The 14,334-nt window shown below is 42.7% G+C and overlaps 1 protein-coding gene across 3 annotated transcripts in view; it reads left to right on the top strand.

The window, feature by feature from the left end:
• The window catches only part of SNW1 (SNW domain containing 1), a 43,558-nt gene that overhangs the window by 1,446 nt on the left and 27,778 nt on the right, over window positions 1-14,334 (top strand). For all 3 annotated transcript variants that reach the window (NM_012245.3, NM_001318844.2, XM_047431112.1), the window contains exons 2-3: window positions 4,591-4,744; window positions 8,231-8,392. In NM_012245.3, coding sequence (NP_036377.1) covers window positions 4,591-4,744; window positions 8,231-8,392 — 316 coding nt within the window. The remainder of the gene's footprint in view (window positions 1-4,590; window positions 4,745-8,230; window positions 8,393-14,334) is intronic.

The raw sequence follows: 14,334 nt of genomic DNA, 5'->3' as shown, positions 1-14,334 counted from the left end.
AGCTACCATGCCCAGCCAAGAGTTTGTTTAGTAAATGTTACAGGCAGCAAACATTTGAGTGCTCCCCAGGTGTGAGACACTGTGTCATAGACTAGTAAAGTTATGAGGGGAGACTTTGTGGAAAAGGTGGAATTTGAAATGGACACACAGGAAAAATTTCTAGAGATGTCATGGGTATTTTTTATTTATTTTATTTTTTGATATAGGGTCTCACTCTTGCCCAGGCTGGAGTGCAGTGGCCCAATCACAGCCCACTGCAGCCTCAACCTCCCAAGGCTCAGGTGATCCTCCTGCCTCAGCGCCCTAGAGTAGCTGGGACTCTAGACGCTTGCCATGATGCCCAGTTAATTTTTGTTTTTTTTAGTAGAGATGGGGTTTTGCCATGTTGCCCAGCCTGGTCTTGAACTGGGCTTAACTGATCTGATCTACCCATCTCAGCCTCCCACAGTGCTGGCATTACTGGCGTGAGCCACCACATCATCTGGCCTGTCATGGGTATTGCGTGCTTAAAATTGCAGTGGCAGAATGCGATCTTTAAATGGCCAGTCTTGAGGACTCCAGAGCTTTCCATACCTACCATCTGGTGTTCCTCAGTATTCTTTGTAATATCCTTTAAATCAGTAAACACATTTCCCTGAGTTCTGTGAGCTGCCCTAGCAAATTAGTTGAACCTGAAGATGAGGTCATGGGAACCCTGGTTTGTAGTTAGTTGGCCAGTGGCCTTGGACCTACTGTTGGCATCTGAAGTAAGGGCAGTCTTGTGGGACTGAGCCTTCAACCTGTAACATCTGACAGTATCTCCAGGTAGATAACATCAAAATTGAATTGAATTAGAGGACACTTGACTGGTGTCCAGTAGACACAGTTGATAGCTTGCTTGATATGTGGGGAAAAACCATCACACATCTGGTATCAGAAGTGTTGTGTGTTGTTGATTGTTGAGTGAAATAATAGGAGAAACTGAGTTTGTTTTAATTTTATACTCTATCCACATGGAGCTTACACTCTAATGGGACAGAATTGGAATTCTAGTGGGACAGAATTCTAATTAGCTTACATTCTAATGGGACAGAGTGAGTAAAATCATAATGCAATTTCACGTAATACATGCTAGGAATAAAATAAAGACCGGGTTAGAGAGTGACTCAGAGTTTGGGGTGAAGTGGCTATTTTGGGTAAGGTGGTCAGAAAACAGCTCTAGAGAGAGGTAACTGAGCAGAGACAAGAGTGCTGAGATGCAAGCTGTTGAAAGATCTGGGGCTACTCTAGGCATACTGCCTGTGGGATAGCCCTGCCCAGCAAGGAGCAATCAAAAAAGAAAAGATCTGGAGATCTGGAGAAGAATTTTCTATAAAAGCATACGAAAATTTGTTCTTTTTTTTTTTTTTTTTTTTTGTGGCAGAGTCTCACTCTCACCCAGGCTGGAGTGCAGTGGAGCAATCTCAGCTCACTACAAACTCCACCTCCCAGGTTCAAGTGATTTTCCTGCCTCAGCTGGGATTACAGGCGTCCGCCACCACGCCCGGCTAATTTTTGTGTTTTTAATAGAGACAGGGTTTCACTATATTGGCATGGCTGGTCTCGAACTCCTGGCCTCAAGTAATCCACCTGCCTTGGCCTCCCAAAGTGTTGGAATTACAGGTGTGAGCCACCTCGCCCAGCCGGAAAAATTGTGATTGATTGCAATAGATAGATAGATAGAGAAAAATTGTGATTGATTGATTGCAATAGAGAAAAATTGTGATTGATTGATTGCGATAGATAGATAGATAGATAGATAGATAGATAGATGATTAGATTGATTTGATGGCAGAAGGAATAGCCAATGTAAAGATCCTGAGATGGCTTGTTTAAGAAAAGATAAGAAGGCTGTAGTGAAATAAAGATGGTGAGTGCTGGGGAAGAGTGTATTTATTTCTCCTACAACATTTAAGGAGCTCGAGCTGTGAGCTAGAAGTCTTGGAGCATTAGGGATGAAAGAAGCATAAGGCGTGATTCCTGCAGAGCTGCTCACAGTCTCATGAAAACAGAATAGTTAAATGAGTAGATGATTGCAATACAGTAAGGTAATGTTGTAGTAGTGGTATGTAGAGCGTTTTGGGGGAGCATAGAGACAGGCAGTTAACCCAAACTGGAGGAGTCATGGAACAGCCCTGAAATAATCAAACATACAGAACCTGTATTGAAAGTGTCTAGATACTATACCAACTGGTTCATGGATTTCTCTCATTTAATACTTATAAGAACCTTATGAAGTAGATACTCTTATGAACTATTATTACAGATGAGAAAACAGATTCAGAGAGGTAAGTAGCTTATCCAGGTTAGTAAGTGGCATAGGTCGGATCTGAATTCTGAGCCTAGCCATCACTTACCTCCCCAGACTGGATTAGATCCCTCTCATGTAGACTGTCATAGCATCTATATTTTTCCATCATAACTTAACATAATGTGTAATTATAGATTTGTGTGATTTTTTTTTTTTTGGTCTCTGTCTGCAAGACTAAGCTGTCTTTCTCCATTTATAGTCTCATGCCTAGCATAGTGCTTGTACCCAAATAATAAATATTTTTGAATAATTAATAAGCTCTGCTACTTAGGTATGCTTACTATCCAAGAATCACAAAGGAACTAAGGTTATTTTCTCCATATTCATCCATCAGGATCCTTTTGTAATACTTTGGAGTATCACTGTAATACTTTAATACTTAAAAGTTGTTAAGAACCATTTAGTAGAAAGGTTACCTTGACTAAAGAATAAGCTGCATCTTCAGGGCTTCTGCTTTGATTCTTTGGCCTCTAAGGGTTTTTTTGTTGTTGTTTGTTTGTTTGAGATGGAGTTTTGCTGTTGTTGCCTAGGCTGGAGTGCAATGGTGCAATCTTGGCTCACTGTACCCTCCACCTACCGGATTCAAGTGATTCTCCTGCCTCAGCCTCCCGAGTGGGATTACAGGCGCACACCAGCACGCCTGGCTAATTTTGTATTTTTAGTAGAGACAGGGTTTCACCATGTTGATCAGGCCGGTCTTGATCTCCTGACCTCAAGTGATCCACCCACCTCGGCCTCCCAAAGTGCTGGGATTACAGGTGTGAGCCACCATGGCTGGCCTGGCCTCTAAGTTTTAAATTTCATTGTAGATACCCTTGACACTTAAATATGCAACTTGTGTTTATTTTATCCACCTCTTTTTTACATTCAGTTTTAATCCTAGTTCTTTTGTATTTACACTGAAGTAGTTTAAAGTAAGGAGCATAATGGTAAAAATGTTAAAAACAAGGAGTAGCCAGGCGTGGTGGCTCATGCCAGTAATCCCAGTACTTTGGGAGATGGAGGCTGATGGATCACTTGAGGTCAGGAGTTCGAGACCAGCCTGACCAACATGGGCCAACATGGCAAAAACCAGTCTCTACTAAAAATACAAAAAATAGGGATGTGGTGGCATGCACCTGTAATCCCAGCTACTCGGGAGGCTGAGGCATGAGAATCACACGAATCCAGGCGACAGAGGTTTCAGTGAGCCGAGGTTGCACCACTGCACTCAAGGCTGGGCGACAGAACGAGACTCTGTCTCAAAAAAAAAAAGGAGTATAAGAATAGCAAGTATATACTGGACAGTTTATCCCTGAAGTATTAGGAATGTTTACTTGTTTGTTATAAGAAATATGGAAACAGGCTGGGCGTGGTGGTTCACACCTGTAATCCTAGCACTTTGGGAGGCCGGGGCGGGCACATCACCTGCGGTCGGGAGTTCGAGACCAGCCTGGCCAACATGGCGAAACCCTGTCTCTACTAAAAATACAAAAATTAGGTGGGCGTGGTGCTGCACATCTGTAATCCCAGCTACTTGGGAGGGTGAGGCAGGAAAATCACTTGAACCCAGGAGGTGGAGGCTGCAGTGAGCTGAGATGGTGCCACTGCACTCTAGCCTAGGTGACACAGAGAGACTCTGTCTCAAAAAAAAAAAAGGAAAGAAATATGGAAATACGGAAGCATGGCCAGGTGTGGTGGCACACGTCTGTAATTCCAGCACTTTGGGAGGCCAAGGTCAGCGGATCACTTGAGGTCAAGTTCAAGACCAGCCTGGCCAACATGGTGAAACCCCATCTCTACTAAAATTGCAAAAATTAGCCTGGTGTGGTGGCGCATGCTTGTAATCCCAGCTACTTGGGAGGCTGAGGGAGGAAAATCACTTGAACCCAGGAGGCAGAGGTTGCAGTGAGTGGAGATGACACCACTGTACTCCAGCCTGGGCAACAGAGTGAGACTCTTTCTCAAAAAAAAAAGGAAATATGGAAGCATAAACGCTTAAGAGTTTGTCTGTTATGTGAAATATCTGTTAATTTTTTATTCTGGACATCATTTGCTGTTGTCCTAGTCAGATGTTTTTACTGTGTATCTTTGAGTACTTCTGTCTTCCACATATTATAAAATGGCTAGTATTGAGTACTACCATAAATCATTGAAAAATCTGCTCTTTTTCTGAAAAGTAAAAGCATCGTAGGAAAAATTGTCTCTGTGGCCAAGTTGCAGTGGTCAAATTAAACATAAGAGTTTTTTAAATTTCTGACTTTTATTATCTTTGCTTATAGCTTTTTACCTGCACCTACTCAGCTATCTCAGGACCAGCTTGAGGCTGAAGAAAAGGCAAGATCCCAGAGATCACGGCAGACCTCACTGGTCTCCTCCCGAAGAGAACCTCCCCCGTACGGATACCGGAAAGGCTGGATACCTCGGTTATTAGAGGTACATATAGATCTTAAGTTTAGATTTGTTAAATTGTGCTGAAATTTATTATAGCACACTATAACATAAATTTAAATGTTAGAACCTCTGATTATGAATGTCAGTGTGATAGAAATTCTGGTTATGTGCTCTCAAGATGTATATTTCCCTCAGAAGATGTATCATTTTCTTTTTGCTTATTATCTATCACTGCTTTGTGGTCACTAGAGAACTGTACCATTTGTCTATTCCTATATCAAACTATTAAATATTTACAAGAAAACTAATATTTTATAAATTCAGGAATTACGGAAAATAATGGGAAAGTAAAAGATAAGAGAGATGAAAGTGGTTTTCATATTTGGGCTCCTCCTCCTCCTCCTCCCCTCCGATAATACCACATAACCCTGAAGAGACAACTTTCCTTCAGGGAAAACTCCAGTAGCACTTCCTTTGCTGATTTCTTTCTCTTCACCTGTTTTCTTACCTTTAATTTGAGAATGTTAATATATATCTGATATATAGATTAAATATATTTTTGCGGGTATAAGACAAAATTTGGTTGATTTGAAGGCAATGAGGGAGAAGGAACCATCTGGAATAGCTCTTTCTATCTCTAGCTTGTTGCCAAATAACAAGCTTCCGGTCGGGCGCAGTGGCTCACACCTGTAATCCCAGCACTTTGGGAGGCCAAGGCGGGCAGATCACCTGAGGCCAGGAGTTCGAGACCAGCCTGACCAACATGGAGCAACCCTGTCTCTACTAAAAATACAAAATTAGCCAGGTGTGGTGGCGCATGCCTGTAATCCCAGCTACTCCGGAGGCTGAGGCGGGAGAATTGCTTGAACCTGGGAGGCAGAGGTTGTGGTGAGCCAAGATCGCACCATTGCACTCCAGCCTGGGCAACAACAGCAAAACTCCATCTCAAAAAAAATAAAAAATAAAAATAAAAAGAACAAGCTTCCTTGGCAGCACCTATTCTAATTACTCAGGATCCTTTACATTAATTAATTAATTTTTATTTTTTTTATTTTTGGGATGGAATCTCGCTCCGTTTCCCAGGCTGGAGTGCAGTGGTGCGATCTTGGCTCACTGCAGCCTTCGCCTCCTGGGTTCAAGCGATTCTCCTGCCTCAGCCTCCCAAGTAGCCAGGATTACAGGCACGTGCCACCACATCCAGCTAATTTTTTGTATTTTTAGTACAGACAGGGTTTCACCATGTTTGCTAGGCTGGTCTTGAACTCCTGACTTCAGGTGATCCACCTGCCTCGGCCTCCTAAAGTGCTGGGATTACAGGTGTGAGCCACCGCGCCTGCCCCACACTCTTTATTAGAGTTTATAAGAGGAACACCCAACTAGATCATATCTTGTCCTATGTATTCCAAAAAACCCACATGTAGGTCTTTTTGTTGCTTTTTTGTCAGCTTTCCTCTGGTCCTTATGAATGCTGGTGTGTGAAGGCCAGTCATATTGCAATTATTAAGGGATTTTTGTTGCTTTTGTTCTCTCTGATAGTGTTATTTATGGGAGGCAGAGGAAGATGAAAGATTATCAAGGAGTCTTACCTGGGGCAAAAAAGTAGTGATTGGCATCATCTAATAGAGCAGTTGAGTGTCTCTGTTGAGGCATTATAAATATTGTTTGGTCTGTCAGTACATTGCACAATGAGGGTGACAGGCATCATCTTACATAGAATGTAAATCTCATCCATGCATTTCAGCATTACGATACTTGGTTGCTATTAGATTTTTAGATTCTTACTTGGCTATCAGTGGTTTCATATATCCTGGTGAAACAGAACAACTTATTTGAAAATCAAGTTGAAATGGCTAGCTAATCTGGAAATGCTATGGATGCTGCTTGAGGGGAGTGAATGTTCTGTGGAAGAAGGCATTTTGTTCTAGTTTTCAAAATAAAAGCTATGATTTTCTGGCAAGCTTAATGACCACATAATGCTACAGCTACAGTTCTGAAGTACTTATTATAGTTGAAAAACTCTAGCAAATCCAAGCATGTGTCAGATTGATGGCTTGGGTACGGGAAGCACTTATCTTAGGAATGCTTTAACTCTTTCTCATTTACAAGAAAATGTCTCTCAGCTTTATTCTCTTGGTTTTCAAAAACTTCAAACATCTCTTTAGCAAATAAGCATATTGTACTTAGGAACTCATATATCTTAGATCTAACGGAGTATTACTTAAAGAGGTCTTGTAAAAGTGAATATTTTCTTTTTTTTCCATCAAACCCCCTCTAAATGATTAATTTTAATTTGTGTTTTCTATTATTTCTTAATAGTACTCATTTGGCTGTTTTGAGCTAAAAGAAAGGTATTTCATAGTAGTAGAAAATACAAAGCTTTTCGGAGTCTCAAAAGATCTGGGTTCAGGTGCTGCATATAATACCTATGAGATCTCAGGAACACCGCTTAATTTTTCTAAGCCTGAATGTTTCCATTTAAAATGATGTTAAAGAGTTACAAGGATTAAATGAGATAATACATGTGTGAATCATGTTTAAAGTGTACTAAGCAAATACTACTGAATTTTTTTTAACTACTTAAAAATTATACTTGATCCTCATGTTTATTTGATAAACCTTTTTAAAATACTACATTTCATCAGCAAACTTTATTTAGCTTGTTCTACTTTAGCAGTCTCAGTTCTCTCTCCTAAATAATTATGTATAATCACTAGTAGAAATGTAGTAAACTCATTTCTGGATCCTTCCTATTGTATTCATTTGCTTCTCACATAACAATGAATAAATAATATGTTAATAAAATCTGATTCCAAGAAAAAATCTTTTATATTTCTGCCCCAAGTATAGCTTTACCTGTTCCTCACTAAAATATGTATTTATATGCTAAAATATATACACATATATTTTGCCTTGTCCTAGCCATTTTACTTAGTTTCGTCCTGCATATATGAAATCCACATTTTCTTGCTGTAGCATGTAAGTCCCTTTGTGATCTGGTGTTTTTTACTCATGTAACTTGTGCCTCAAGCTCTGCTGTCCTTATTAAGCTGTTAGCCCCACTGAATTCTCATTTCCTAAAATATACCAAGCTCATTCTTGCAGCAGGGCCTTTGCATTGGCTATTTGATCCATCTAGAAAATGCTTTGTGTGTGTGTGTGTGTGGTGTGTGTGTGTGTGTGTGTGTGTGTGTGTGTGTGTGTGTCTTCCCATGACTGCTTTCTAATCATTCAGGCTTTAGCTCACATGTTACTTCTTCACAAAGGCTGTCCCCAACCACCCTATCAAAAGTAGCCCCTTTTCCCAGTCTTTTTCTTTTATATTACCTTCATGGTACTTATCACAAGCCAAAGAATGTGTTTTTTATATCTTTGCCTACTAGAATGTAAACTCCACAAGAGGCAGGGAACTCTGCTGTATCTCTAGCATCTAGCATACTAAGGACTCAACAATTACTTGTTGAATGAATGAATATATCTTGAATGTCAAATGATGATTAACTATTTTATTTAACTACTTCTAATGTGTAGGATTTTGGAGATGGAGGTGCTTTTCCAGAGATCCATGTGGCCCAGTATCCACTGGATATGGGACGAAAGAAAAAAATGTCGAATGCGCTGGCCATTCAGGTGGATTCTGAAGGAAAAATTAAATATGATGCAATTGCTCGACAAGGACAGTCAAAAGACAAGGTAATCCTCTCATGTTTTCCCTGAATGATAAATATTTTAGGAAACATTTTAAATTTTGTGGACACGATAAATCTCTTGCTGTTTGAATTATGTTAAAAGTAGCAGTGGCTGGGCATGGTGGCTCGTACCTATATTCCCAGCTACTTGGGAGGCAGAGGTAGGAGGTTTGACTGAGCCCAAGAGTTTGAGGATACAGTGAGCCACTGCACTCTTGCTTGGGTGGCAATACCTTGTTTTAAAGGGGGAAAAAAGTACATTTTAAAACAGTTACTTTATATTACTAGCATTCTAAAACTGCCAGTAAATTTTTAAAAATCTGCAACCCCAGAGCCTTACCATCAACTTTTAATTTATCCTGTAGTTTCTTCTAGTTTTTTCCTATAGTCTTGACTCATTTCCTCCATGTACTTAGAGTACTTACATGTACTCTATTACAAGTATTTAATAGTTTATTTGAGTATAATAAATTACACAAACTTCTTTTGCCCTAGATTAAGTACAAAACTAGCATTTGCTATCCAGATTTAGGATGGCCCTGCTACGAAGTAATCCATAGGCCAAAAATAAAATTTGCTTAAAATAATCTCATCACAGAACAGCTACACTCAGGGCCAAGGAACTATTTTTAAGAAGACCTAGTTTTTTTTTTTTCTTGTAAATAAATACTCAAGATAGAAGTGAAAGATTTCCTTAGAACTGATGATGTTTGGAAAAATACTTGAGAGCTTTCAGTGCCTATCATTGGCCTCTCTCTCCCCGCCAAACTTTTTCAATTTACCCTCTAAAATAGCACTAACAACCCATCCTTTGCTTCTGCATCATGGCTGCTGAGCTTTGGGGGAAGACAATTATGCAATCATGCAGATTTATATCTCCTATTTCAGCTCAGCTCCCTTGGTACTCCCACCAAACTTTAATTCCTACTCCTTTCATCCCATCTCATCCTTAGCAGGTGACTCCCCCATCTATTTGAATATAAAGACTATTGGAAGACAATTGTCAATTTTCTTCATCCTGCACTTGTCCTTTTTCCTCGACTTTTACTTTTGTTTTTGCACGAAATGCCTTCTTCTGTCTAAGCCTAATCTTTTTTTATTTTATTTTTTATTTGTTTTTTTGAGACAGGGTCTTGTTCTGTTGCCCAGGCTGGAGTGCAGTGGCACGATGATGGCTCACTGAAGCCTCGACCTCCTGGGCTCAAGCATTCCTCCCACCTCAGCCTCTCGAGTGGCTGAGAGCACAGGTGTGCACCACCATGCCTGGCTAATTTATTATTTTTTTGTAGAGGTGGGATATCCCTATGTTACTCAAGCTGGTCTTGAACTTTTGGGCTCAAGCAATCCTCCTGCTTCTGCCACCCAAAGTGCTGGGATCACAGGCGTGAGCCACTGCACCTGGATCTACACCTGATCTTGCCATATGTATTCTGGATCCCAATCCCTTCCCTCTTCCTCTATGAACCTTACCTACTAGTTAATCTTCTCAACAGTTCTTCATCCCTCCTCTTCTAACGGCTCTTTCCTGTTAGCATTTGAATGTGCTTGTTTTTCTTGTCATTTGTTTGTTTATTCTTTTTTAGATTGTAGTGCCCTGGCACCCTCATAATTCATTGCAACCTTGAACTCTTGGGCTCAGGCGATCATCGTATGTCAGCCCCCCGAGTAGCTGGGACTACAGGCGCCTGCCACCATGCCCGGTGAATTTTTTTGTATTTTTAGTAGAGATGGGGTTTCACCATGTTAGCCAGGATGGTCTTGATCTCCTGACCTCGTGATCTGCCCACCTCGGCCTCCCAAAGTGCTGGGATTACAGGCATGAGGCTGCCTGGCCTTTCTTATCTTTTGAAAGATAGGCTTTTCCCTGAGTACCTACTCGCAGTGTTCTGTCTAGCTACCACCTAATTTTCTTCACTTTTTTCAGGCTTGTTTCAGGAGTTGTTTTTGCCCTGTTTCTTCACTTTCCTTTCACTCTTCAATTCACTACAAAATGACCTCACCTAAACCAGTTTGATGAGGTGCTCTCTGGCAAAAGTCTCTTAACACATTTTTTTACAGCACATTCTCTTTATATATTTTTTTCTTTTAATCATTCTGTGACTTTAACCAAAAAACACAGCACATTCTCTTTAACTAATGTAATTTATTTGCCACTCATATGCTGATGACTGTTCAATCTGTGTTTCCAGCCCAGTATTCTCTGCTGGGCTGTAGGTCCTTATATCTTACTGTCTACAAGGGCAAGTGTATCTAGATTTCCCTAAAGTGCTACTTAATCAAATCCAAACCTAAATACATAATTTTCCACTTAATCTACCTGCTATTTCTGTAACTCAGTAAGTGGTAGTGATATTTTCCTAATTGTTTATGCTGAAAGCCTGGGAGTCATTTTTTCTTACTATTATATTGATTTTTTTAAAAAAAATTATACAAATAGGCTGGGTGTGGTGGCTCACACCTGTAATCCCAGCACTTTGGGAGACTGAGGTGGGTGGATCACGAGGTCAGGAGATTGAGAACATCCTGGCTAACACAGTGAAACCCCGTCTCTACTAAAAACACAAAAAATTAGCTGGGCATGGTGGCGGGTACCTGTAGTCCCAGCTACTCGGGAGGCTGAGGCAGGAGAATGGCGTGAACCTGGGAGGCAGAGCTTGCAGTGAGCTAAAGACGGCACCACCGCACTCCAGCCTGGGCGACAGAGCAAGACTCTGTCTCAAATAAAAAAAAAAGTTATACAAATAATATATTATAGTAAAAGATACCATAAGTATATATCACAAGTATATATAGTCCTGCCCGCTTTTCTCCTACTTTACTTCCCAGAGGTAACTGCTGTTACTACAGTGATATATATAATTCCAAATTTTTTTTTCCTAAAATATTTTATTTATTTATTTATTTATTTTAGTATTTATTGATCATTCTTGGGTGTTTCTCGGAGAGGGGGATTTGGCAGGGTCATAGGACAATAGTGGAGGGAAGGTCAGCAGATAAACAAGTGAACAAGGGTCTCTGGTTTTCCTAGGCAGAGGACCCTGCGGCCTTCCGCAGTGTTTGTGTCCCTGGGTACTTGAGATTAGGGAGTGGTGATGACTCTTAACAAGCATGCTGCCTTCAAGCATCTGTTTAACAAAGCACATCTTGCACCGCCCTTAATCCATTTAACCCTGAGTGGACACAGCACATGTTTCAGAGAGCATGGGGTTAGGGGTAAGGTTATGATTAACAGCATCCAAAGGCAGAAGAATTTTTCTTAGTACAGAACAAAATGGAGTCTCCTACGTCTACTTCCCTCTACACAGACACAGCAACAATCTGATTTATCTATCTTTTCCCCACATTTCCCCCCTCTCCATTCGACAAAACCGCCATCGTCATCATGGCCTGTTCTCAATGAGCTGTTGGGTACACCTCCCAGACGGGGTGGCCTCTGGGCAGAGGGGCTCCTCACCTCCCAGACGGGGCGGCCGGGCAGAGGCGCCCCCCACCTCCCGGATGGGGCGGCGGCCAGGCAGAGGCGCCCCCCACCTCCCGGACAGGGCGGCTGGCCAGGCAGGGGCTGGCCCCCACCTCCCTCCCAGACGGGGCGGCTGCCGGGGCGGGGGCTGCCCCGCACCTCCCTCCTGGACGGGGCGGCTGCCGGGCGGAGTCGCTCCTCACTTCCCAGATGGGACGGCTGCCGGGCGGAGGGGCTCTTCCCTTCTCAGACGGGGTGGCCGGGCAGAGACGCTCCTCACCTCCCAGACAGGGTCCCGGCTGGGCAGAGGTGCTCCTCACATCCCAGACCGGGCGGCGGGGCAGAGGCGCTCACCACATCTCAGACGATGGGCGGCCGGGCAGAGACGCTCCTCACTTCCTAGACGGGATGGCGGCCGGGAAGAGGTGCTCCTCACTTCCCAGACTGGGCGGCCGGGCAGAGGGGCTCCTCACATCCCAGACGATGGGCGGCCTGGCAGAGACGCTCCTCACTTCCCAGACAGGGTGGCGGCCGGGCAGAGGCTGCAGTCTCGGCACTTTGGGAGGCCAAGGCAGGCGGCTGGGAGGTGGAGGTTGTAGCGAGCCGAGATCACGCCACTGCACTCCAGCCTGGGCAACATTGAGCACTGAGTGAGTGAGACTCCGTCTGCAATCCCGGCACCTCGGGAGGCCGAGGCTGGCAGATCACTCACGGTTAGGAGCTGGAGACCAGCCCGGCCAACACAGCAAAACCCCATCTCCACCAAAAAAATACGAAAACCAGTCAGGCGTGGCGGCGCGCACCTGCAATCCCAGGCACTCGGCAGGCTGAGGCAGGAGAATCAGGCAGGGAGGTTGCAGTGAGCCGAGATGGTGGCAGCACAGTCCAGCCTCGGCTCAGCATCAGAGGGAGACCGTGGAGAGGGAGAGGGAGAGGGAGACCGTGCACAGAAGGGGGGAGGGGGAGGGGGAGCTATAATTCCAAATTTTTATTATGGATTTAGATATTTATGTATATCCTCATTTTATGTATACATACAAACTTAGAAACTGTTGTTTACATGAATGGAATTTTGATGCCCATAACTTCCTTTGACTTGCTTTTTATTTTACTTAACACATTTGACAATTTTTGTTAGTACATATAAGTCTACTTCATTTTTTTTTATTAATCTATATAGGATTCCGTGGCATGGTTATCTGCTAGTTTTTTTAAGCATTGGTGGTTTTTAGTTTTACAAACAAATGTATTCAAGATCCACATACAAACATCTTGTTGAACATGATTATTTGTTTAAATTCTTAGGTGTGGACTTACTGGCTCAAAGGCTATTTAGATTTCACATGTGACACATACTGCCCATATGTTCTCTCTGCTCAGCAATTATTCTAGTTCTTGTTTCCCTCAGACCTTCCATCTATTTATTCTCTGTGAACGATCTTATTTCCTTAACACTTCTCAAGTATATTCCCCTCTCTGCTACTTAGTTCAGGCTGTTTTCATTTCTTGCTTGATTTACTGCAGCCAAGCCTGCAACCATCTCATTGACATTTGTCTTGCTGGCATGAACAAACAAATTCATCCATGTCTGTTTGTCTTTCTCATCATGTATATACACATACACGCAAGTGTGCACAATTAAAATCTTTCTATGGCTTCCATGGTCTTTAGGGTAAGGACTAAGCTGCTATGGCATGCTTGACCCCTTACTCACTTTTCTTGGCTAGCTTCAACTCTCCTGATCGGAATACTGAAATCCAAAAATAAATAGTTCAGTTTTAGCCATTCTGTTTGTTTTCACTATAAAATAAATACTATTATATGTGTTGTTGTTTGTTTTCGAGACAGTCTTGCTCTGTCACCCAGGCTGGAGTGCAGTGGCACAATAACGACTCGCTGCAGCCTTGAACTCCTGAGCTCAAGTGATCCTTTCACCCCAGCTTTCTAAGGAGTTGGGACTACAGGTGCACACCACCATGCCCGGCTAATTTTTGTATTTTTTGTAGTGACAGGGTTTCACCTTGTTGCCCAGGCTGGTCTCAAACTCCTGAGCTCAAGTGATCTGCCTGCTTTGGCCTCCCAGAGTGTTGGAATTACAGTTGTGTGCCACTGCACCTAGCCAAGGTGGTTGTTAAGAAGAAAAAAACTTTTTTTCTGAGACCAAATCTTGCTTTGTCCCCCAGGCTGGAGTGCAGTAGGGCAATCTCAGCTCACTGCGACCTCAGCCTTCCCAGTTCAAGCAGTTCTCCTGCCTCAGCCTTCTGAGTAGCTGGGATTACAGGCGCCCGCCACCATGCCCAGCTCGTTTTTGTCTTTTTAGTAGAGATGGGTTTCACCTTGTTGGTTAGGCTGGTCTTGAACTCCTGACCTCAAGCAGTCCACCTGCCTTGGCCTCCCAAAGTGCTGGGATTACAGGCATGAGACACCGTGCCCAGCCAAGAAGAAAAAACATTCAAGCATTCCCTATAAATATTTGCCATGAGGAA

The sequence above is a fragment of the Homo sapiens genome, chromosome 14 (assembly GCF_000001405.40).
Source record: "Homo sapiens chromosome 14, GRCh38.p14 Primary Assembly".
In the NCBI taxonomy this organism is placed as follows: Eukaryota; Metazoa; Chordata; class Mammalia; order Primates; family Hominidae; genus Homo; species Homo sapiens.
This window is presented reverse-complemented; position numbering and strand designations above follow the sequence as displayed.